The sequence below is a fragment of the Homo sapiens genome, chromosome 15 (assembly GCF_000001405.40).
Source record: "Homo sapiens chromosome 15, GRCh38.p14 Primary Assembly".
NCBI classification, from domain to species: Eukaryota; Metazoa; Chordata; class Mammalia; order Primates; family Hominidae; genus Homo; species Homo sapiens.
This window is the reverse complement of record NC_000015.10, coordinates 37,996,430-38,023,435: the sequence shown is the minus strand read 5'-3', so window position 1 is coordinate 38,023,435 and position 27,006 is coordinate 37,996,430. Positions and strand designations below refer to the sequence as shown.

General features: G+C 38.9%; 1 protein-coding gene across 2 annotated transcripts in view; it reads right to left on the bottom strand.

Annotated features, from left to right (window-relative positions):
- The window catches only part of TMCO5A (transmembrane and coiled-coil domains 5A), a 106,226-nt gene that overhangs the window by 17,430 nt on the left and 61,790 nt on the right, over positions 1-27,006 (bottom strand). The window contains exon 13 of one of the 2 annotated variants that reach the window (XM_047432177.1): positions 13,434-13,461. The exons of the other annotated variant lie outside the window; for it this stretch is intronic. The gene's annotated coding sequence lies outside the window, so the exon portion shown is untranslated. Of the gene's footprint in view, positions 1-13,433; positions 13,462-27,006 lie in introns of those variants that run through there. 2 annotated transcript variants of the gene reach the window in all.

Here is a 27,006-nt window from a genome sequence, read left to right as displayed (position 1 = left end):
TAAAAAGATCATATAAGAAAACATATTGAGAGGTCTGAAGACTAACAAAGAGAGAGATGTCTGGCCAGCTCTACCTGTTAGAGCCCCCAGGGCTCATATGGAGCAGAGACTAGTCATCCCTGCTAAGATTGCAGATTCAGGAGTGAAATATTCTTGTATTTTAAGCTACTATGTTGTGAGGTGGTTTATCACTAACTGACAATATATATGTCTGCTTCTGGACTCTATTTTGTATCATGATCAATTTGTCTATTTTTGTTACTGTGCCACACTGCTTCGATTACTGTTGTAAAGCTTGAGATGTAAAAATTTTGTTTCCCAAATTTTTCTTATTCTTTTTGCACATTACATTTCCAGATGATCTTTAGACTCAAGTTTCAAAGAGCATCAACTAAAGCCACTGGGATTTTTATTGGGATTGCATGGAACTTATACAGTAATTTAAAATGAATTGGTTATTTTATACAATTGAGTGTTTTCAAGAGGAAATAGAATAATTATATTATTCAAATCTATTTGTATCTAATATAGTTTCATACTTTCTTTATATTGATTTTATATATTATTTGTTGTTTATTTCTAAAATATCATAGTTATTTTATTAAAGATTTTAAAAGGGCAGTTTTACATTTACAACAAAATTGAGAGGAAGGTATAGAGATTTCCCATATACCCCTGCCTCCACATATGCATAACCTCCCCCATTATCAACATCTCCCACCAAAGTGGTACATTTGTTACAATTGATGAACTACATTGACACATCATTATCACCCAAACCCCATAAAACTATGGATTTACATTAGGGTTCACTCTTGGTGTTGTACATTCTGTGGGTCTGGACAAATGTATAATGACATGTAGCCACCACTATAGTATCATATAGAGTATTTTCAGTGCCCTAAAAATCCTCTGTGCTCTGCCTAGTCCTCTCTTCTCCCCGTCAAACCCCTGGCAACTACTGAGATTTTTTTAACTTTTCCATAGTTTTATATTTTCCAGAATGTCATGTAGTTGGAATAATATCATATATAGCCTTTTCAAATTGGCTCCTTTCACTTAGTGATATACATTTAGGTTTCCTCCATGTCTTTTCTTGGCTTGCATTTCTTCTTTGCACTGAATAATATTCCACTGTCTGGATGTGCCAGAGTTTATCCATTTACCTACTGAAAGCCATCTTGGTTGCTTCCAAATTTTGGTAATTAAAAATAAATTCGTGTGCAGGTTTTTGTGTGGACATCGTTTTCAGCTCCTTTGGGTAAATACTAAGAAATACGACTGCTGAATGGTATGATAAGCGTATGATTAGTTTTGTAAGAAACTGGCCGGGTGTGATGGCTCACGCCTGTAATCCCAGCACTTTGGGAGGCCAACACGGGTAGATCATGAGGTCAGGAGATCGAGACCATCCTGGCCAACATGGTGAAACCCTATCTCTACTAAAAATACAAAAAAATTAGCTGGACTTGGTGGCGCTTGCCTGTAGTCCCAGCTACTCAGGAGGCTGAGGCAGGAGAATTGCTTGAACCCAGGAGGTGGAGGTTGCAGTGAGCTGAGATCGGGCCGCTGCACTCCAGCCTGGTGACAGGGTGAGACTCCATCTCAAAAAAAAAAAAAAAAGAAACTGTCGAACTACCTTCCAAAGATGTTATAGTTTTTTGCTACATTGAATTAAAAAAATTAAAAAGTTAATATTGTATATTTTAATTGAGTAATCTGTAATAAAACACGACTGATTTTTAAATTTTATCTTTTTAGATTTTTATATTGATAAGCATTTGGATATTTCAAGTGGTTCTTGTGGGGAACACTGCTATTGTCAATCAAAACCTAGTCTCCCTTTCCTTCTGGACAAATAGCTAAAACTTATTACTAAACACCCTGACTGTTAGCTCTGGCCATGTGACCAAGTCCAATAATAGATTATGAATACAAGCAATGGGGGTCACTTCTAAAAAAATCCCCCCACATGCACCCTTCTATGCATGTGATATTAAGTCCCCAGGGAATAGTGGAGCCACAAGGTGGAAATATGCTGAGTTTCTGAGTTACATCATGGAGAGCTGCACGCAGACCTGGAGCACTTTATCTAAATGAAAATAAGCTTCTTTTTAAGCAACTGGAAACTTAGTGCTCATTTGTTATAGTGGTTTAGCCTACCTTAATTAATGCTTTGGATTTTCTAGGAAGGATGATCATATCATCTGCAAACAGACATATTTTCCATTTATTATGATTTCTAAAACAAAGCTGAGTCAGGGATCTTAGTCTGTCCTTATTTTAATAGTAATGTCCCATTAAAAAGTGCTGTACTGGTAACTGCTTAGTTGCTTTGGGTTTCTGACAAGTAGGAAGTATCCATTGTTTTTTGTTTACTAATACATTTTTAAATACCCGGAATGCAAATTTGTCCAACACATTTTTGTTATCCACCTAAATAACCATGCATTTTGTATTTTTTAATCTAGTAAACAACATGAATACATTAACAGATTTCCTATTGCTGATCCATCCACAGTTTCCTGAAACCAACCTTACTAAATTAAACCAACAAAGTTTACCTAAAATTTTATTTCTCTTAAACCAAAAAGCAATACTATGATTATTTTTGTTTCTTCAGAATTTACTAGTTAACTTATTTTTATTTATTTATTTTTATTTAAAATTTCCCCCAGCTTTATTGAGGTATAATTGACAAATAAAATTATATATATTTAAGATGTTTAATGTGATGCTTTGATACACATATAAATTGTGCAATGATTACCATAATTAAGCTAATTAGCATATTCATCACCAAATTATTTTGAATTTGCTTGGCTTATTACGTATCCATTGCTATCTTTTGCAAGTCCAGGTGTCTGTAGTGGTCTCAATCACTGCCCTTTTTCCCACCTTACCTCTTATCTCCCCTTGGGTGGTACCAAGTGCTTCTGAGTTGCAGATAACTTCAGCCGGCTTGCTTCTTTTCAGGACTGGCTTCTATGTGCAGTTACATTGTACCTTTCTCTTCTTTCCCAAGTCAGTAACCATACTTCCATATATTTTCTTCCAAGGGTTCATTGAATTTTTCTCTATGAAGTTATTTCTTTCCTCCCCTCACCCTATTCTTTTACCTCACAGTTTTTCCCTTTTAAAATACATCCTGTGTTTTGATTGAAATTTAGAAAGACGAGAACAATTTATTATTTAAAACTGAAGCTCTCAAGACCAGACTGGGCAACACAGGGAGACTCCATCTCTACAGAAAATACAAAAAAAATGAAAAAAATATATTAGCCAAGTATGGTGGTGCATCTGTAGTCCTACCTACTCCAGAGGCTGAGGTGGGAGGATCACTTGATCCCAGGAGTTTGAGGCTGCAGTGAGTTATGATTGTGTCACTGCACTCCAGACTGGGTGACAGAGCAAGGTCCTGTCTCTAAAAAAAAATTTTTTTAATTACATTTAATTTATCAAAAAAAAAAACCTCTGATGCTGTACATGTCATTATACATTTGTCCAAGTCCATAGAACCACAGCTGGGCATGGTGGCTCAAACCTGTAATGCTAGTGCTTTGGGAGACAGAGGCTAGAGGATTGCTTGAAGCCAGGGATACAGGACCAGTTTAGGTAACAAGGCAAGACCCCGTCTCTATGAAATTAAAAAAAAAAAAAAATTAGCCAGACATAGTGGCACTGCCTGTAGTCCCAGCTACTCAGGAGGGTGAGGTGAGAGGACCACTTGAGTCCAGGAATTTGAGGCTGCAGTGAGCTATGATTTTACCACTGCACTCCAGCCTGAGTGACAGAGTGAGACCCTGTGTCTTAAGAAAATAGTGAACTCTAGTATAATGTACCACTCTAGTGGGGGATGCTGACAGTGGGGGAGGTTGTGAATGTGAACGGGTAGGAGGAATATGTGACTTCTCTGTACTTTCAACTCAATTTTGTTACAAACCTAAACCTGTTCTAAAATGTAAAGTCTATTTACAAAAAAAAGGAAAATTGAAACTTCTGATAAACTGACCTATATTTTCCTTAGAAGAATTAACCAGAATTTGTATTATCCCATCCATGCAAAATAAATATTCTAGTTAGCTTTTACTTCCCTTTTCCTTGTTACTTGAGATTGAAATTACTAAGAATTTTAGTTCCAGATTGCTTCAGTTTTAGAAATATTATTAACTTCTATTTTAGTCATCTTTTTCCTAACAGTGCCATTAAGTTTCACAACATTATCTGCAATCATTTTGACTCAAGGATTTTACTGATTTCTTTGCCCACTACTATTTTATTGGTTTAGTTTCACATCTTCCTCTTTCTTGAATTCTTCACTATGATTTATTTTTCATTTTACAGAAGTCATTCTGGGGGCTCTTTTATTTCTCTCTCAGAATATATGGGTGGTATACTATCTGAGTCATTGCATATCTGAAAATATTCTTTACCTCCATACTTAGTGATAATTTTGATTGCATATTGAATTTAAGGTTTAAACTACTTTTCCACATAACTTCATAAACAGAGCTCCATTGTCTTTTAACATCTAGTGTTGTATGTAAGAAGTTCCATGCCCATCTAATTTTCATTTCTTATGCATAAATTGTTGTGTTTCTCTGGAAAATTAAAATATTTTAATTTTAATCCTGGATTTTGAAATCTGTATGTAAAAAAAAAAATAACATTACTGCTCTTCACTTACTGAACCCTTTTAATCTGAAGATAGAAAACTTTAGATCAGGGAAATTTTCTTTATTATTTCTTTGATTATTGCTTTCATTCATTTTCTCTATTTTTTTCGTTCTTCATCTCCTGTTACTATATGTGGAATTTTTTAGACCTATCTTCCATATCATTTATCTTTAATCATTTACATCTCTTTTTTTTGCCAGTTGGGTAGAATTCTATTACTTGTTTTTACAGGCCAACAATTTTTATTAATCTATTTTCATTCTACTATTTTGCCTCCCACTGAAATTTTACTTTTAAAGTCATGTTTTTAATTTCTAGAGTGCACTTGTTCTCCAATGGCTTTCTTTTTTGAAACCAGATTTCTTCATTTTACTAATTAATGGCCACTTAACTCTCTCTGAGGACAATAATTTTAAAAATTTCTTAAAGTTGTCTCCTATTTCTTGCTTTAACGCTCTTTACTTAGAGTTAAGTCTTCAGCTTAGTTATGTTGGTGCCCTTCTCTTAGCCTGTTGACTTTCTTCTTTGTTGTCTATTACTGTTTACCAGTAAAGGCTTGCCTTGATTAACGATGGTATCAAGTGTGGGTTTCTTCAGAATTTGTGAATGTCACTGATACACAGCCCTAAGCAGGTGTATTAGTCCATTTTCGCACTGCTATAAAAAACTACCTGAGACTGGGTGACTTATGAAGAAAAGAGGTTTGACTTATAGTTCTGCATGGCTGGGGAGGCCTCATGAAACTTACAGTTGTGGCAAAAGGCAAAGGGGAAGCAAGGCACATCTTCCCATGGCAGAGCAAGAGAGAGAGAGAGTGAAGGGGGAAGTGCCACACGCTTTCAAACAACCAGATCTCATGAGAGCTCGCTCACGATCACAAGAACAGCAAGGGGGAAGTCCACTCTCATGATTCAATCACCTCTCGCCAGGCCCTGCCCCCAACATACAGGGACTACAATTGGAGATAAGACTTGGGTGGGGACACAGAGACAAATCATATCTGCAGGCCTCCTTGCTTTTCAGATGACTGCCTGCGGTGCCCTCTGAGTACCCTTACTCAGATGCAGTGAGTAGGTGGGCACTTCTAAAAGCTGTGTTTTCTTCTAGGATGTTTTAATGGTAAGCAGACTGACAGAATAGGAGCCCCTCAACTGAGGAAGCAGGAACTTCTTATGATGAAGACAATGCTTTAAAAGCCTTTCCTGTACCACTGAGTGCTTTTTTCCTTTTCCTTTTCTTCCATTATACCGATCTAAATTTGAACAAGGCACAGCCATTTCTCTGGCTCCTCTCCGGCAGGCAGGTTACCATTTTTGTTAGGGAGTTGCTTTGCACAGAGCAGGATTCTGGCCCAGCTCCTGCCATATTTCTAAGACCCCACGCACTCCCATGCTTCCATGACCCACTCCTGCTTCTCGGAGATTTAAACTTTTCTGAACTCCGTTAGGAAACCAAACTATGCACTCCTCCATCACCCCTCCTTCTTTACTAGTATTAGGAGGCAGAAGTTTTGGCAATTAACTTATAAATTAATTTGATTCTATATGCTTTTATAATATCCAGAAATTCCTTAAGTTTCTGGTCATTTGCAGAAGGTTTCATTGCTTTCACAGGTGCTGTATATTTATTAGTATTTTTTTATGTCAGTGAAATTTTAGTGGAAGCAATGCAAAGAAAAAAACTTGAACTCAGTCCACTATCTTCAGTGGAAGACCCCTGGCCATATAAATACAGCCGTATCCTCTCTCTCTCTGTCTCTCATTCTGTGTCTCTCTTTCTTGCACTCTGTCTTTGTGATCCAGTGTTCATAATCTGTTCTTTAGAGGTTTAAATAGTTGGAAAAAAAAAAGCCTAGGTCAGGGTGTCTAACCCCTATGGTATGACAACAACAGCAACAACAAACTTTATTCTTTTCTCCTACTAGTAGTTATGGGTGTGAATAAACCCAGATAAACTTTTTGACAGTGTTAAGGCAAGCGGCAGAGGACACAGTGGTCAGAAAGGGAGGATTATAGGGTGATATTTCCAAAAATTTAAAGCAGGAGCATTCCATAATTTCCATTATAACTTAGGCCTTATTATATACCTTTCCTTTGTGCTTGGGGACTAGACTTTGCCCAGGCTGAAAGTATAACTGACCACTGCTCATTTCTGCGGCTCTGGAAGTTACCGTAGGTGCTTGATCCTGAGATGGCTCATGTATTCACTGGTGTTTGAGCAGAGATTGAACTCCTTTGCCATTTAGTCTTGCACCAAATCAGCACCCCTCAAATCATCCATCTTTTAGGACCACTGGATTATCTGTCTTAGGCTGGTTAATTTACTTTCAAGTTACCTTGGGAGTTCATGAGGAGTCCCCATTGCCCACAGAGCCTGATACAGTGGCTACACTGACAGGTTTTCGATTGCTCATAAGTGGCACAAATATTCTTGCTGGTCTTAATCTTCACTTTTCACTGTTATTGGCAATGGGCTAATATAAATTCCTTTTTCATTTCTTCATAATCCCATTAAAAAATAGACTTTATTTTTTAGAGCAGTTTTAGGTTCACAGCAACATTGAGCAGAAGGTGCAGAGATTTCCCATATAGCCCCTGCCTCCATACACACATAGCCTCCCCCATTATCAACACCCCCCACCATAGGGGTGCATTTGTTACAACTGATGAACCTACATTGACGTCCCAGTATCATCCGAAGTCCGTAGTTTACATTTGGGTTAACCCTTGGTGTTGTACATTCTGTGGGTTTGGATGGATATATAAAATGACACACATCTACTGTTACAGTATCATGCAGAATAATTTCACTGCCCTAAAAATCCTCTATGCTCTGCATATTCATCCCTTCCTTCCCCCAACCCTGGGCAGCCACTGATGCTTTTACTTTCTTCATAGTTTTGCTTTTTCTAGAATGTCATATAGTTGAAATCATATAGTAAAAAGCCTTTTCAGTTGGGCTTCTTTCACTTGGTAATATATGTTGAAGATTCCTCCATCTCTTTTTATGACTTGATAGCTCATTTATTTTTATCACTGAATAATAAATAGTCCATTGTCTGGATGTACCATAGTTTATTTATACATTTACCTACTGAACGCCATCTTGGTTGCTTCCAAGCTTTGACTGTTAAGAATAATGCTGTGACAAACATCTTTGTGAAAACACCTTTTGTGTGGACATAAGTGTTCAAATTTTTGGGTAAATACCAAAGAATATGATTTATAGATTTTATGATTAGGGTATGTTTAGTTTTGTAAGAAACTGCCAAAGCATATTCCAGAATGGCTGTACCATTCTGCATTCCCACCAGCAATGAATACAGTTCCTGTTGTTCCACATCTTTTAGCACTTGGTGTTGTCAGTGTTTTGAGTTTTGGCAATTTTAATGGTATTAATTTAATATCATTAAATGGTGGTTAGTGGGTATTCGTATCTTATTGTTTCCTAGTTGCATTTGACTTTCTGTCCTCTAATTGGAAAGTTCCTGTGATGGTTAATACTGTCAACTTGATTGGATTGAAGGATGCAAAGCATTGATCCTGGGTGTGTCTATGAGGGTGTTGCCAAAAGAGATTAACATTTGAGTCAGTGAGCTTCGGAAGGCAGATCCACCCTTAATCTGGTGGACACAATTGAATCAGCTGCCAGCAAATATAAAGCAGGCAGAAAAACATGAAAAGGAGAGATAGGCCTAGCCTCGCAGTCTACATCTTTCTCATACTGGATGCTTCCTGTCCTCTAACATCGGACTCCAAGTTCTTTAGTTTTGGGACTTGGACTGGCTCTCCTTGCTCCTCAGCTTGCAGATGGCCTATTGTGGGACCTTATGATTGTGTAAGTTAATACTTCATAAACTCATATATATATATATATATATATATATATATATATATATATATATAATCTTTCTCCTATTAGTTCTGTTCCTCTAAGAGAACCTTGACTAATACAGTGTCTTTTCCTTTAGGATCTTTAAGTGACTTAGAATTAATTATGCATTCAACTTTCTCTACTGCCATATACTGAGAGGCAGAAGGAGAGTACAGGGAACATAGAAAGAAAGGGAAACACATTAAACAATTTTAGTCTTGTGGGGTAGAACTTGCGGGGGTAGAACATGTGTGCACACACGCACTGAATGCCATTTTCACCTCTCTCTATCAATTCAGAAATCCCTCTAACTCTTGGAAGACAATTGAAGTAGCTACAGAGAGATTGGTATACCTAATGGTTTGCAGGAAGCTTATGTCATTAGTTCTAGCAAATTCATAAGCTAAAGTATTTCTATTTTATTTTTGAAGAAATTAGAAGGAGGGTTAAAGTTGAGGAAACAAAATTTTCTTGAAATTAAGAATGGGGAGCTGAAGGGAAATCAAGTGTTTGTAATCGATCGTATCTTGGTGTCTTGAAAGCCAGGGTCAGAGCAGGGAGGTTTTGAAATTCTTTTAAATGACAAAATGTACACGAAGCAAAACTAGGTAATATCCAAGAGACTTTAATTTTAGGAAGGAGTATATGATAGAAAGAATAATGGCCTCCCAAAGATATCTATGCCTTAGTATCCAGAACCTATGAATATATTACCTTACATGGCAAAAAAATATTTTGCAGGTATGATTAAATTAACTATCTTGAGGTGAGGGAATTATTCTAGATGATCCTCATGGACCCAATGTAATTGCAACAGTCCTTAGAGGGAGGCAAAATGAACAAAGTCAGATAATGTGAGGACAGAAGCAGGGGTCAGAGAGCAGAGAAGATGATACACTGCTAGCTTTGGAGATGAAAGAAGGAGTCATGAGCCAAGAAATGCAGTTCACCTTTAGAAGCTAAAAATAGAAACAGATTCTTCCCTAGAGCCTGCAGAAGGAATGCAGCCCAGCAGACCCATTTTTGATTTCTGACCTCCAGAGCTGTAGGAAAATAAATTTGTATATAGTTTTAAGTCACTAAATTTATGATAATTTGCTATAGTAACAGTATAAATTGAATCCAGATTATCTTAGTGATTGGTATCAGGAAAAATAAAATAGAAAAAATTATTTGCTATTTTAAATTATCACATGTTGAAGTAATAGAGTGGCTCATTGGGTCTATCAAACTCAAAATGTTCCATAGACTGGATTAAGAAAAGTGAAGCAATACTAAGGTGACATGCAGGGAATCATCTGTTTAAGAAGTCCCTAGGTGTTAGCACATTAGCAGAGCTGAGATTAGAGCTCCTATCACATCACTGATGACAAGAGTGTGGCTGTTATTGAATTACTGTCTCTCAGCTCCAAATCCACCCTTTAATGTTGTGCTTGATAGCCAAGATGGATCTCGTAAGCATTTCTTCTTTACCTCTTGGCACCATGTCAAGTTTTTTAGTAGATGGCAATAGAGGAACACTAGAGGGGGGGAGGGACTTCTTTTCCTGCTTTAGCTGTCCTTTTCCCTCCTTCCTGTGGTGCTTGGCCTGCCTATACAGGATACCCAGTGGAGATGACCCCTGGCAAGTTTAAGTGGTACTAGCCACAGGCAGCTTCCTGGAAAGGTGGCTTCTTTGTGATCTTAGCAACATCTTTGTGGGTGGCTTCTGGATGAGTTCTGTAGGTAACTTTTGACAGCCTTCAGTGAATTCATCAGCAGCCTCTGCTGACAGCTTCCTCGGGAGTTTCACTGGCACCCAGTGGTGGTTCTCTGTCTGCCACCCTTGGCCTGCAGACTATGGACCAACTGTGACTTCTCTCCTATCCTACAGGCTGAAGCCACAGTCCCTTTATTGTGATCTGTATCCCAGTCCTGAGGAAGAGGCCCCCTTCCAAGTTTGTTCCTTCTTTGGGTTCTCTCATTCAGACCTCAGGTAATCTTTAGATTTCTCTATTATCCCTTCTTGGTAGCTAATCCCCTATAAATGATTAATAATTCTTTACATTAACATTTCCTCTTCAAATTACTGTGTTCTTTCTGTCTCCTGACTTTGACTGATACTAGGACAGGAAGCCGAAGAAAGAATTAGTGTTCTGCATGGGACCAAGCTCACACATGAACATCACTTCTCATCAGCCTCCTCATCACAATTTTATGCTTCTTTTAGATATCATTTTTGTTCTAGCATGGATTTTGATGTTGCTTACAAACATTTCCTGAGTACATATTGTGTATTTGAGAACTAATCATAACATCTAAAAGCAGTGCAAAATGAGCAACACACATACACGTGTATGTGCACACACACACACACACACACGACTACTCCTATTGGGAGTTGAGACAACAGGCTTCAACATCAACTGTGTCCTTAACTAGCACTGAGAATATCAGAGAGAAAGCCCTCTGAGCTTTTCTCTTTGAGGCTTGATGAGATAAATTGAAGATATTTTCTGCTCAAAAAATCGATAATATTTGATTTGAGTGGTGTGAATGTCAAACAGCAAAATGTTAGTGAAACAAAAGGACAGTTTTGAAGGCTAGCCATGGATTCTGGGGCTGGTGAGAGGCACCGTGAGAGACATATGGAGTGACCATTGAGAGCAAGAAAAGATGTTCTGGGCTGGAAGTTGTTCTCCTTGTGCCAAATGCAAGGAAATCTATGAAAACCCTCTCACCACATAGAAGAAGCCATTCTTTTCTTTTTTTCTTTTTTTTTTGAGACGGAGTCTCGCTCTGTCACCTAGGGTGGAGTGCAGTGGCGCGATCTTGGCTCACGGCAACCTCCGCCTCCCAGGTTCATGCCATTCTCCTCCTTCAGCCTCCTGAGTAGCTGGGACTACAGGCACCCGGCACTGCGCCAGGCTACTTTTTTGTATTTTCAGTAGAGATGGGATTTCACCATGTGAGCCAGGGTGGTCTCGATCTCATGACCTTGTGATCTGCCCGCCTTGGCCTCCCAAAATGTTGGGATTACAAGCATGAGCCACCATGCCTGGCCAGAAGAAGCCATTCTTAGGCAACTACATAACAGACATATTTTTCAGAGCAGGAAAAGATACACAGAAACACGTGGAAGCAAATGTAAAACCATAAATCTACATAGACATGGTAGATTTTTATTTTAAAGTCTGAATTTTGGGCATTTGCAGATTGAACAACTGGGAACTTTTTCTATTAACAGTCCTGCATTCTATAATAAACAGACCAATGTGAATTAGATTAGGTTAGTATTCAAAAAAAAGGTCAGCAGGTGATAAAGAGCCAGGGCAGCTGTCAAATGAAAAGACTTGGTGCAGGTAACTATTCTGGATAGTTAATGTCCTTAGACCTAGTGACTCACTTCTAACAAAGACACTGCAGCAAAAGTGATAGGCTATCATTTCTGAGATTAAGTTTAAAAAGGTGTTGACTTCCACCATCGCACACACACACTCTCTCTCTCTCGATCACTGTCATGCTCATTCTGATGAAGTCAGCTGCTGTGTTGTAAGCTGTTGTATGAAGGGACACGTGTGACAAGAAACTGAGAGTAGCTTCTGTCCACACTCAGCAAGATTTGAGGCCCTCAGTCTACTATTATGCAGCACTGAATCTTCCTTAGTTCCTTCTTCACTCAAGCCTTGAGATGAGACCACAGCCTCTGCCGATATCTTGATTCCAACCTTGTGAGACACCTTGAGGGACAGACACCAAACTAAGCTGTGCCCAGGTTCCTGACCCACAGATACTGTGGGATAACACATTTGCTGTTTAAGTAACTAAGTTTTGTCACACAGCAATAGATACATAAAAGATGCTGGGTGCAGTGGCTCATGCCTGTGATCCCAGCACTTTGGGAGGACGAGGTGGGCAGATCACTTCAGGCCAGGAGTTTGAGACCAGCCTGGCTGACAAGGCAAAACCCTGTCTCTACAAAAATACAAAAATTAGCTGGGCATGGTGGCACATGCCTCCCAGCTACTTGGGAGGCTAAGGCACAAGAATCACTTGAACCTGGGAGACGGAGGTTGCAGTGAGCCAAGATTGAGCCACTGCACTCTAGCCTGGGTGGCAGAGTGAGGCACTGTCTCAAAAATAAATAAATAAGTAAGCAAATAAATAAATAAAGAGTATCGTTACACCGGTTTTCTGTGGCTGCTGTAACAAACTACCACAAAGTTGGTGGGTTAAAACCACAGAAATTTATTTTTTCATGGTTATGGAGGCCAGATGTCCAAAATCAGTATCACTAGGCTGAAATTACGGTGTTAGCAGGACCACACTCCCTCTGCAGGTTCCCCCTGCCAGCTGCTGACATTCCTTCGCTCGTGATAACATCATTGTAGCCTTCGTGGATGGCACTTTTAAATCTCTGTCTACCCCCATCTTCACATGGCCCCTTCCTGTGTGTGTGTGTGTGTGTGTGTGTGTGTGTGATCTCCCTCTGCCTCCCTCTTTTTTTTTTTTTTTTTTTTTTTGGAGACGGAGTCTCGCTCTGTCGCCCAGGCTGGAGTGCTGGAGTGCAGTGGCGCGATCTCAGCTCACCCAAGCTCCGCCTCCCAGATTCACGCCATTCTCCTGCCTCAGCCTCTCGAGTAGCTGGGACTACACGCGCCGGCCAATACGCCCGGCTAATTTTTTGTATTTTTTTTAGTAGAGACGGGGTTTCACTGTCTTAGCCAGGATGGTCTCGATCTCCTGACCTCGTGATCCGCCCGCCTCGGCCTCCCAGAGTGCTGGGATTACAGGCGGGAGCCACCGCGCCCGGACCTGCCTCCCTCTTATAAAGATACCTGCAATTGAGTTTAGGGTCCACTCTATTAATAATCCAGATCATCTCTTCATCTCAAGATCCTTACCTTCATCACATCTGCAGAGGTGCTTGTTCTATATAAGGTGACATTTACAGAGTCCAGGAGTTAGAACATGAATAATTTTTGGGGGGGCATTCTCAGCCTACCATAAATACCTACTGTTTTAAAGCTCATTATGCTCCAGATACAATGCTAAACACTTTATATGCATTTTCACTTACATGCATTTCACTTACATGTGTTACCATGCCTCATTTATATATACAGAAATGGAGTCTCAGAGAGCTTGAGTGACTTGACTCAGGTCACACAGCTATTTAGTGGTGAAGCCAGTGTGAACCCAGGCAATCTGACCTCTAAGTTTGGATATCTAACTGCTCTGCTGTGTTGCTTTCCCATTATATGCTTAAGCTAACTAATTAGAAAAGGGCATATCTATTTTCCTGGATATAATATATTTGGTGAGTTCTTACTAATGGTGTGACTTTTGGTATCTTTAGAGTTCCCAAATTGAAACGTCTTTTTAAGGAGAGGCACTTGAACTGGGAGGACCTTATCTAACATTTAGAATAAAAATACTGTTGCCTAGAGAATATAGACCAAGTAAATAACATTTCTCACATAATGAATCCTAGACAAGCACATCACATTTACACAAACCCAATCTCTGGTGTTGAAGGTCTAAAGAACTAGAATAGGCGAGCTGTGCTCTTTTGTGCAAAGCTCTTTAGGGGAACTGATTGCTTTGAGCACTTAGAGGCACTTCTCTATAATTAGTTTTGGATGGATTTATTTGGCTTTCCTGGGAAAAGTAGATCTAGAGGTGAAATCTGAATGAGGTTAGAGAAGAGGTGATTTTTGTGTTGATCAAAGTTCAAAATGAGAAGATACGTAATGGATTCCAGATTAGGATCTGTTCAGCATTTGCCATGCTATTCCTTTAACAGCTTGCTGATTTTCCACATATGACCCGGTAGTCTAAAAATTCAGATCACACAGAAACTTCAGTCTTGTTTAGATTTAGGATTTAGGCTTATGAATCTCTTTTTCCATATGTTTCTTCTTGGGGGCAGATTCTAAATTTAGGAAAGTAATGGTATCAGAGGCCTAAGAGTGATTTCTTGAGCTTTTGTTTTTATTGCTCATTATGATGGCATGGCAATCCCTTCCTCAATGTGACATGCCTGCACAGGTGTGCAGGTGGCTAAACGATTCAGAAGATGGTACTTGGATGGCAGATGGTCATGCGTTGTCTTGATTCCAACCACACTTTGAACATTCTGTCCCTCCTCTGACATGCCTCACTTCAGATGGCAACCTCATTTGGAGGTAAATTGTTTTTCACTGTGCTTTTCATGTTGGAGTTGACCTCGTGCCTGGCACTGTGTGGAATGAATTGGCCTACTTTCTGCCCCAGGGATATCAGAAGCTTATTGGTATTTAGTGAATGCTTTGTCATTTTGATCCTAGAAAATAGACCCTGAAGAGATCTTCTAATTTTACTAAGATTATCCTATCTACCTTATTGCAGTATCTCCCCAAGGACAGATGCTTTATGAATGAAGGAGTTCTAGAGTCAATTAAGTTGGGATGCTTCATAGAAAAAAGTGTTTTGAGGTCAAATGACTTTAGAAAATGTTGATTTCCCCCTTCCCTCTATCATCCCTGCAGCTAAAATATTGACAACCACACTTTATCTCTTTAGCTCCCCTCTGAGTACCACGGTCGGTATTTCTAGCATTTTTATAGTTTCCCACTTTCATCCAGGTTCTTTTCTTTGCCTGACGAATTTCTTCAGCAATCTGGGAGAGTCTGCACTCTTGCAAGTAAAACCTGAAAGTGTGGGTGAGTTTGGCTGGGCACGGTGGCTCACGCCTGTAATCTCAGCACTTTGGGAGGCCAAGGTGGGCAGATCACGAGGTCAGGAGATCGAGACCATCCCGGCTAACATGGTGAAACCCCATCTCTACTAAAAATATGAAAAATTAGCCAGGCGTGGTGGCAGGCGCCTGTAGTCCCAGCAACCCGGGAGGCTGAGGCAGGAGAATGGCGTGAACCTGGGAGGCGGAGCTTGCAGTGAGCCGAGATCGTGCCACTGCACTCCAGCCTGGGCAACAGAGAGAGACTCTGTCTCACAAAAAAAAAAAAAAAAAAAAAAAAAAAAAAAAAAAAAAAGTGTGGGTGAGTTTACACCCTCAGAACAACCCTCAATCATTGAAAAACTGGACTTGATAGATAAATGCCTAGGCCTCCCCACCCTCTGTTAAACAATTCCAAAGCCACATCATAGTTTCTTAGACAGATTCCAGCAGAACTGACCTCTAGTTACTCATGGCACTTACTTGTTCACTAACACAATTTTATTGTTTACTCATTTCCCTATCTCAATTTTCCCTGTCTCATTTGTGTCTCTTATTTTTGCCTTTGACATTAACTACCTGCACTCAAGTCTTTGAGAGTGTGTTTTAGGGGACCTTCTCCAATTCTTTGGGTACTCCTAATTTACAGTAGCTTTGAGAAGTACAGAAATGTCTCTTATCATGTTTCCTAAACATCATCCAACAGATCTTTTTTAATTTTAATATTCTGTGTATCTAATGTTCTTCACACTGTAGTTCCTGAATTGCTGTGGTTCCTGGAGATATTTCAGGTAGAAGTATTCTGAAGAGCTTCCCATAAAAGAGCCTACAGCCCATTTTTGTGTTAGAGTATCCTTTGCAAAAACCTCAAGGCCACAGGTCCACAAGGGACCTTATAGTGTATTTATCTCATTTTATCAATGGAGAAATAAAGACCTGGAGTGTTGAACTCTCATTTGGCTCAATCATCTGAGATTACATAGGAAGTCTACACACAAATTCTTTAGCCCAAGGGTCAGTAAACTATGGTTCATGGGCAAAACTCAGCCTGCTGTCTTTGTATATAGCCCACAAGCTAAGAATAGTTATGGCATTTTTTAATGATTGAAAACAAATTTTAAAATAATATTTCATGACATATGAAAATTAATATGAAATTTAAATTTTAGCATTGCTGAATAAAGTTTTAGTGGGACATGGCCACACCCATTTTTTTTTAATCCATTGTCTACAGCTGCTTTAGTGCTACAATGGCAGATTTGAGTTGTTGTGACAGAGACTGTATGACTTGCAAATATTTACTAGGTGACTTGTTACAAAAATAATAATATAAATATTAAAATAATATAAATATTAGCATTAATATAAAATATTTACTGGGTGATTTTTTACAAAAAAGTTTGCTAATCCCTGCTTTAGATTTCCAATACATGAATGGAATTGCATTATCTGCATAAGTCAATATAGTGTAGCCAAGAGATCATAGAGTTGGGAATAGTGCATAGGGATTTTATTTTATGCAGTGCTGCTAGCAAGCTTCAGTGGATTTTGGACAAATGAGGTCACATCTTTAAATATCAACTTCCTTATTTGTAAAATGAAGTGACTGGACTGAATGCTTCTCAGTGTTCACTTATGTTCTGTGTTTTCTTAGATTCTGTATTTGTCTATTTGGCATTCATTAATCACAGGGCCAAACCAGTGGGCAAAGTTGTTTACGTATCCCCTGTGAACAAGCTTTTGCAGGTGCTCAAAATCGTATTACAAATTCTCCAACCAATCCTGAGTCCATAAGCTCAACCACCTCATTTCTCTAACTCCCATACAACATTTCAATACTTTCCCTGCTCTGAATCATACCAGGCAACTAGACACCACTCCTATGCTATATCAGAGCCCACAGACATTATTCAAACTAGCCAGTACTAAGCTGTTTCTCCTGTCCCACCTTGCCTCTCATGAAGAAAACACAATAAAGGCTCTAGGCCATGCTCCTTCCTGCTTCTGCCTCCTGATCTACTCTGCTGCTTCCCCATGTGGCCTTGCATGGTGTGCTGTGCCTCTTGTTTCTAGGGGAACTGTGAGTAGCAACAAATTGTTCTTTCAATGGCCTTGACCTCTTCATATCATCACTCACTCCCCAGCAATAAATTAAGACTGGGTACAGATCACTTAAGTGCAAATAATTTATCATTCTGTGCAGCTATCTCAGATTTAACATATATAATATTGGAAGGGGGTTTGTTCCTAATGTTCAGCCTAAGCCAAACCTCCGTTATTGCTGTTCAGTTCCTTCGGTCTTCATCCATGAACTGTGAGAAAGAAAGTACTTAAGGCTGCATCCCTGCTGCACAGGGAGTCTTTGCCTATTTCTAAAGTTCATATGACCTGTTAAGAAGACTCCTGGTTTGCCTTCTTATAAATCAGAAGCTGAGATTCAGGAAAACTTTTTCATCATACAGTTTTCAATGGTCTTTTTTTCCTCACACTGCTCTAAATCACCGGAACCACTTGTGCTTTCTACTTAGCCCAGTATGAGCTGTAATGTATTAACTTTGCTCTAAGTTGTTTCCTTTTTACAATTTTTTATTTAATTAATTAATTTATTTTTAGAGACAGCGTCTTACTCTGTCACGTAGGCTAGAGTACAATGGTGTGATCATAGCTCACTGCAGCCTCAAACTCCTGGGCTCAAGGGATCCTCCCCTGACACCTGTCTCAGCCTCTTAAATAGCTTAGACTACAGGTGTGCACCACCATGCCTAGCTTTTTTTTTTTTTTTTTTTTTTTTTTGGTAGAGATGGGGTCTTGCTGTGGTACTCAGGCTGTTCTCAAACACCTGCGCTCAGCTTCCCAAAGAACTGGGATTATAGGCATAAGCCATTGTGCTCAGTCTGGTGTTTCCTTTTTTTTTTTTTTTTTTTCTGTCAAGTACTGTTTTCCAAAAGTTATCTGTCTTTTGGCACCTCCCCAAACAATTGGCACTGTCATTTCCCTTTTAAGGATCCTCTCTCTAGGTGCCCTTAGGAATAAAGGTTGATTAAGACCTACAAGGGCATACTGGTGGCACAAATGAGTAAAATAGACTGGGCATAATGCAATAGGGGTGATGGAAACCATTGTAAAGAAACAGACCTGTACTCTGTTAATAGCTGTTATTTCTGTTTGAGCAATTATTGTCACATGAGAATTCTGTCTAATAGTGACAAATCTTTTTACTCTTCAACAGAAGGGAGAGCAAGACGGCCAAATAGAAGCCTCCAGCAATTATACACCCCCCCAGAGGAACAACAAATTAAGCAATACAAGAAAAGCACCTTCATGAAGTTGAAAACTGAGGTGAACAATCACAATACCTGGTTTTAACTTCACATCACTGGAAGAGGTACTGAAGAGGGTAGGAAAGACAGCTTCGAATCGCCTCCATCACTTCTCCCTTAACCCATTTGGCTCAGAGAGAATCTGTGCACTTTGGGGAGGGTGAATGCAGTAACTGTGCAATTTTACATATGACCTCAGTGTTGTCCTATCACAGTGGAAAGCAACAGAAGGCAGAACTCAGTTGGCACCCACGGAGGGAGCATTTAGGCCAGCCCTAGCCAGAGGAGAATCACTTATCCTGGCTGTTGGAACCTGAGTTCCAACAAGCTTCACCAGCACCACTGTTGGCTAAACTGCTGTGGGGTTCAAAATAAACTTGAAAGGCAGTCTAAGCCACAAGCACTGCAATTCCTGGGCAAATCTCAGTGCGGTGCTTGGCTCAGAGCCAGTGGACTTGGGGCACACATGACCAGATGGGGTGGCCAGGGGAAGGTCACCTCTCCTCCAACCCCAGGCAGCACAGGGAGAAACTTCTTCCTTCTGCTTGAGGAGAAGAGAGGGAAGAGTAAAGAGGACTTTGTCTTGGAACTTGGATATCCACTCAGCCATAGTAGAATGGGGCACCAGGCAGAGTCCTGAGGCCTCTTTTCTAGGCCCTAGCTCACAGATGACATTTCTAGACACACTCTGGGCTAGAAGGAAACCCGCTGTCTTGAAGGGAAGGACTCAGTCCTGGCAGAATTTATCACCTACTGATTAAGGAGCCCTTGGGTCCTGAATAATCAGCAGTAGCAACCAAGCAGTATTCACCTTGGGCCTTGGGTGAGACTCAGAGCCATGCTGGCTTCATGTGTGACCCAGCACATTCCCAGCTGTGGGCCTTACAAAAAGAGACTCCTTTTGCTTAAGGAAAGAAGAGGTAAGAAGAGTAAGGGGACTTGGTTTTGAAGCTTGGGTACCACCAGCTCTACTCAGCGGTGTAGAGCACCAAGTGGGCTCCTGGGGTTCCTGATTCCAGGCCTTGGCTCCTGGACAGCATTTCTCGATCCTTCCTGGGCCACAGAGGAGCCTATTTCCCTGAAAAGAGAATCCCAGGCCTGGTAACATGCACCACAAGCTGACTGAAGAGTCCTTGGGCCTTGAGTGAACATGGTGGTAGCCAGGTACTGTTTGTTGTGGGCCTGGGGCAGTGGTGACCATGGGGAGAGACTCATCTGCTTGAGAAAAGAGGAGGGAAGAGTGAGAAGGACTTTGTCTTAAAGCTTGGGTGCCAGCCCAGCAGTAGTAGAATAAAGCACCAAGTAGATCCCTAAGGTTCTTGACTCCAGGTCCTGGCTCCTGGATGACATCTCTGGACCCACACCCACCATGGGCCAAGGATAACTCACTGCATTGAAAGGAAGGACATGAGCTTGGCTAGATTTACCACCTGCTGGTTACAGAGCCCTTAGGCCTTGATGAACATAGGTGATAGCCAAGCAGTGGTAACTGCGGGCCTTGAGTGAGACCCCAGTGCTGGCTTTGGGTCTGACCCAGCACAATCCCAGTTGTGGTAGCCACAGGAGTGCTTCTGTCACTCCTCCCCTAGCTTCAAGTGGGGAGAGAGTGATGGGAGGAGACAGAGAGAGAGAGAGAGAGAGAGAGACTCTGTTTGGGAGAAAGTCAGGGAAGAGAACAAGGGTCTCTGCTGGATAATCCAGATAATTCTCTCAGGTCTCACTCAAGACATCAAGGAAGTACCTCTACAAGCCTGCAAGAGCCACAGCATCACTGGGCTTAGGGTGCCCCCTAATGCACATGCAACTGCAGTGACCAAAGACTTAGATCACAGTGCCCAAATCTCTTTGAAAAGGGACTCGGAAAGCCTTCCCAAGAAGGATGGGCACAAACAAGCTCAGACTGAGAAGACTATAATAAATACCTAACTCTTCAACATCCAGACACCCACAAACATCTACAAGCATCAAGACTACCCAGAAAATGGCTTCACCAAATGAATGAAATAAGCACCTGTGACCAGTACCAAAGACACAGAGATATGTGACCTTTCAGACAGAGAACTCAAAATAGCTGTTTTGAGGAGTCTCAACAAAATTTGAGATAACACAGAGAGAGAATTCAGAATCCTATCAGATGAAATTAATGAAGAGATTGAAATAATTTTAAAAAAAGAATCAAGCAGAAATTCTGGAGCTGAAAAATACAATTGACATACTAAAGAACACATCAGAGCCTCTTAACAGTAGACTTGATCAAGCAGAAGAATTAGTGAGCTTGAAGACAGGCTATTTGAAAATACACAACCAGAGAAGACAAAAGAAAAAAAAGAATAAAAAAGAATGAAGCATAAATGCAAGATCTAGAAAATAGTCTCAAAAGGGCAAACCTAAAAGTTATTGGCCTTAAAGAGGAAAGAGAGAGAGAGAAAGAGAGAGAGAGATACCAGGGTGGAAAGTATATTTAAAGAGAAAATAACAGAACTTCCCAAACCTAGGGAAAGATATCAATATTTAAGTACAAGAAGGTGATAGAACACCAAGCAGATATAATCCAAATGAGACTACCTCAAGACATTTAATAATCAAGCTCCCAAAGGTCAATGATAAAGAAAGCAGCAAGAGAAAAGAAATAAGTAACATGCAGAAGGAAAAAAAAAAAACCTTTTATCCTAAAGTAGCATACCCTGTGAAAATATCCTTCAAACATGAAGGAGAAATAAAGACTTTCCCAGACAAACAAAAGTTGAGGGATTTCATCAATACTAGACCTGTCCTACAAGAAATGCTAAATCCACTTCCTCAGTCTGAAAGAAAAGGACATTAGTGAGCATTAGGAAATCATCTGGAGATACAAAACTCACTGGTAATAGTGGGTACACAGAAAGACAGAATATTATAACACAATAATTGTGGTGTGTAATCTACTCATATCTTGAGTACAAAGACTAAAAGATGAACCTATCAAAAATAGTAACTACAAAAATTTTTCAAAACACAGACAATATAATAAGATATAAATAGGAACAACAAAAAGTTAAAAAGTGGGGGATGAATTTAAAGTGTAGAGTTTGTATTACTTCTCTCTTTGCTTGCTTGTTACTTTGTTTAAGCAATCAGCATTAAGTTGAGCTTAGTCTAAAATAAGGAGTTATAAGATATTATTTATAAGCTTCATGGTAACCTCAAATCAAAAAACATGCAACAGATGTACCAAAACAAAAAGCAAGAAATTGAAACATACCACCAGAGAAAATCACCTACACTAAAGGAAGACAGGAAAGAAGGAAGAGAAGACCACAAAACAATCAGGATACAAATTTTAAAATGACAGGAGTAAGTCTTTACTTATCAATAATAACATTGAATGTAAATGGACTAAACTCTCCAACCAAAAGACATAGAGTGGCTAATTCGTTAAAAAAAAAAAAAAAACAAGATCCAATGATCTATTGCCTATAAAAAACACTCATCACCTGTAAAGTGACATAGACTGAACATAAAGGGATGGACAATTATATTCTATGCAAATGAAAATGAAATGAGCAGGAGTAGCCATATTTATATCATACAAAATAGATTTCAAGACAAAAACTATAAGAAGAAACAAAGAAGGTCACTATATATTGATAAAGGGGTCAATGCAGCAAGAGGATATATAAGAATTTTAAATGTATATGCACCCAACACTGGGGCATCCAGATATATATAACAAATATTATTAGAGCTAAAGAGAGAGATAGACCCCAATACAATAATAGCCAGAGACTTCCACATCCAACTTTCAGCATTGGACATATCTCCTAGACTGAAAAGCAACAAAGAAACATCTGACTTAATTTGCACTATAGACCAAGTGCACCTAATAGATATTTACAGAACATTTCATCCAATGGTTGCAGAATACACATTCTTTTACTCAGCATATGGATTATTTTCAAGGATAGGCCATATGTTAGGCCACAGAATGTCTTAAAAATTCAAAATAATTGAAATAATATCAAGTATCTTATCTGACCACATGGAATAAAACTAGAAATCAATAACAAGAGGAATGTTGGTAACTGTACAAACACTGGTAAACAGTATGTTTCTGAATGACCAGCAAGTCAATGAAGAAATTACGAAGGAAATTGAAAGTCTTCTTGAAATAAATGATAATGGAAACACAACATAAAACTTTTAGGGTACAGCAAAAGCAGTACTAAGAGGAAAGGATATAGCAATAAGCACCTTCAAAGAAGTAGAAAAACTTCAAATAAATAACACAATTATACATTTTAAAGAACTGGAAAAACAAGAGCAAATCAAATTCAAAATTAGTATAAGAACAGAAGTAATAAAAATCTTAACAGAAATGAATGAAATTTAAATAAAAATACACAAAGATCAATGAAATGAAAAGTTTGTTTTTTGAAAAGATAAACAAAACCGAGAAACTTTTAGCCAGATTAAGAAAAAAAGAGAGAAGACCCTAATAAAAAAAATTCTGAGATGAAAAAGGAGACATTACAACCAATACCACAGAAATTCAAAGGATAATTACAGGCTACCATGAGCAACTTTATGCCAATAAATTGGGAAACCTAAAGAAATGGTTAAATTCTTAGACAAATACAACCTACCCAGATTGAATCATGAAGAAATTCAAAACCTGAACAGACCAATAACAAGTTACAAGATCGAAGCCATAATCAAAAGTCTTCTAGCAAAGAAAAGCCTTGGACCTGATGGCATCATTGCTGAATTCTACCAAGCATTTAAAGATGATCTAAAACCAATTCTACTCAAACTATTCTGAAAAATTGAGGAGGGGGAATACTTCCAAACTCATTCTACATGGCCAGTATTACCCTGATACCAAAATCAAAGACACATCAAAAAAAGAAAGCTACAGGCCAATATCGCTGATGAACAGTGATGTAAAAATCCTCAACAAAATACTAGCAAACCAAATTCAACAACACATTAGACAGATCATTCAGTATGACCAAGTGGGATTTATTCCAGGGATGCAAAGATGGTTCAACATATGCAAATCAATCAGCATGATACATTATATCAACAGAATGAAGGACAAAATCATGATCATTTCAATTGATGCTGAAAAAGCATTTGATAAAATTCAACATCCCTTTATGAAAAAAACCCTTAAAAAACTGGGTATGGAAGAAAATACCTCAATACAATAAAAGCCATATGTGATAGATCCACAGCTAGTATAACACTGAATGAGGAAAAACCAAAATCTTTTCTCTAAGACCTGGAACATGACAAGGATGTCACTTTCACTATTGTTATTCAACATAGTACTAGAAATCCTAGTTAGAGCAATCAGACAAGATAAGGAAATAAAGGGCCTGCAAATTCAAAAGGAAGAAGTCAAATTCTGCTTGTTTGTGGATAATGTAATCTCATATTTGGAAAAACCTAAAAAATCTGCCAAAAGATCTGCTAGAACTAAAACATATTCATTAAAGGTACAGACTGCAAAATCAACATACAAGAATCAGTAGCATTTCTATATGCCAACAGTGAACAATCTGAAAAGGAAATCGAGAAAGCAATTCCATTTACAATAGCTACAAATAAAATAAAATACCTAGATGTAAACTTAACCAAAGAAGAGAAAGATCATGATAATTAAAACTATACAACACTGATTGGGCCAGGTGTGGTGGCTCACGCCTGTAATCCCAGCACTTTGGGAGGCTGAGGCAGGCAGATCACCTGAGGTCGGGAGGTCAAGACCAGCCTGACCAACACGGAGAAACTCCATCTCTACTAAAAATGTAAAATTAGCTGGGCATGGTGGCGCATGCCTGTAATTCCAGCTACTAGGGAGCCTGAGACAGGAGAATCGCTTGAACCTGGGAGGTGGAGGTTGCGGTGAGCTGAGATTATGCCATTGCACTCCAGCCTGGGCAACAAGAGCGAAACTCCATCTCAAAAAACAACAACAACAACAACAAAAAAAGAAAACTATAAAACACTGATTAAATAAATTGAAGAGGACACAACAAAATGGAAAGTTATTTCGTGTTCATGGATTGGAAGAATCAATATTGTTCAAATGTCCATACTACCTAAAGCAATCTACAGATTCAATGCAATCTCTATCAAAATACCAATGACATTCACCACAGAAATAAAAAAAAAATCCTAAAATTTATATGGAACCACAAAAGACTCAGAACAGTCAAAGCCATCCTGGGCAAAAAGAACAAAACTGGAGGAACTTCATTGCTTGACTTCAAATTATACTACAGAGCTATAGTAACCAAACTATATGATACTGGCATAAAAACAGACACAGAGAGCAATGGAATCAAATAGAGACCCCAGAAATATATCCATACCTCTACAGTGAACTCATTTTTGACAAAGGTGCCAAGAACACACAGAGGGTAAAAGACAGTCTTTTCATAAACGGTGCTGGGAAAACTGGATATCCATGTTCAGAAGAATAAAACTAGATCCCTATCTCTTGCTATATATAAAAATCAAATGAAAATGGATTAAAGTCCTAAATCTAAAACCTCAAACTATGAAACTACTAAAAGAAAACATTAGGGAACTCTCCAGGACATTTGTCTGGGCAAAAATTTCTTGAGTAATATCCCACAAGCACATGCAACTAAAGCAAAAGTGGACAAATGGGGTCACATCAAGTTAAAAAGCTTCTACAGAGCAAAGGAAAAATTCAACAAAGTGAAGACACAACCCACGGAATGGGGGAAAACATTTGTAAGCTACTTATCTGACAAGCGATTAATAGGTGGAATATATAAGGAGCTCAAACGACTCTATAGGAAAAAATTTTAACAATCTGATTAAAAATGGGCAAAATATATGAATAAACATTTCTCAAAAGAAGACATACAAATGGCAAGCAGGCATATGAAAAGGCACTCAACATAATTGATCATCAGAGAACTGCAAATCAAAATTACGATGAAATATAATCTCACCCCAGTTATTCAAATGACAGACAATAACAAATGCTGGCGATTATATGGAGAAAAAAGAACCATGGTACACTGTTGGTGTGAATGTGTATTAGTACATCCACTATGGAGAACAGTTTGGAAGTTTCTCAAAACGCTAAAAATAGAAATACCATATGACCCAGTAATCCCACTGCTAGGCATATACCCACAAGAAAAGGAATGAGTGTACTGAAGAAATATCTGCACTCTTATGTTTATTGCAACACTATTCACAATAGCCAAGATTTGGAAGCAGCCTAAGTGTCCATCCACAGACAAACTGATAAAGAAAATGTGATACATACATACTATGGAGTACTATTCAGCCATAAAAAAGAACAAGATCCTGTCATTTGCAATAACATGGGTGGAACTGAAGGACATTAAGTGAAATAGGCCAAGGAGGGAAAGACAAACCACATTTTCACTTATTTTGGGAGTTAAAAATTAAAACAATTGAACTTATGGGAAAAAACCTTTTTACTTTTTAAAGAGAAGCCCTAAATCTGGGCTTTAAATGACATTTTCAGAATTTACAATGTCATTTAAAAATATTTGCATTTTAAAATGTCATTTAGAATATTTGCAACAACTACACATTAAAACAAAAGACACGGTGTGAGCTGAAGTGAGTGCATCTGTAAAATCTTTTGAACTTGTGAATCATCATTTTTATGTCTGATCTGTGATAAACAGAAAAATCCTTTCAAACTCATTGTTGCCGTCTCCCAGGTCGTTTTTCTCCCAGAACTTATGACTGTCAAACTGTTTGTTCTTTGTTGACATTTAGTTATCCTACATGCCATCTCCTCACGTGCCACCCCCTTGTTATTCTAAGGATAAATGAGCCAATCTAATGAACTCATTCATCCTAATGAGAATTTTTTCCTTCAGTCGTTTCTTCCTTCTCAGTTAGAATGTATGTTTTAAGATAGAAGTTATAGAAATAATATTCTTCGCAGCTGGGCTAAAGTTGGAGGGTTTAAACATGTAAAAGGGCCACAGGGGGATGTTTGGGTGTAATGGTAAGTGGTGCCTTCTGCTAGTTCCCAAATCACAGGCGTCATCAAGCTGCCAGTGTCCAGGGCCAGGTCTGAAGACATTTTGGACCCATATCACTGCTCATGGTTATCATTGTTATTAGTATCAGCTTCAGGTAAGGGCTTACTTAGAGCCATTAAAGAGCTTCAGTTGGTTCTCCCTTTCTAAAGTTGAGAGTGCTTTTTGGTTTTGACAGGTTTCCTGCTTTTAAAAATTATTTGTTTATACACCTGGTAATTGGTTCCATTTGGCATCTTAATGTTACCTAAGCACTATTTAGCATGCTTAACAAGATTACCCTGAGCTTTTAAGACATTTAAGTGAAAGATCTAAATTCCATAAAAAGAAGAGGCAGCTGGTGAAACTTGGTCATTAGACAGGTAGAGAGCATATTTTTGAGTTGAGAAGCCCA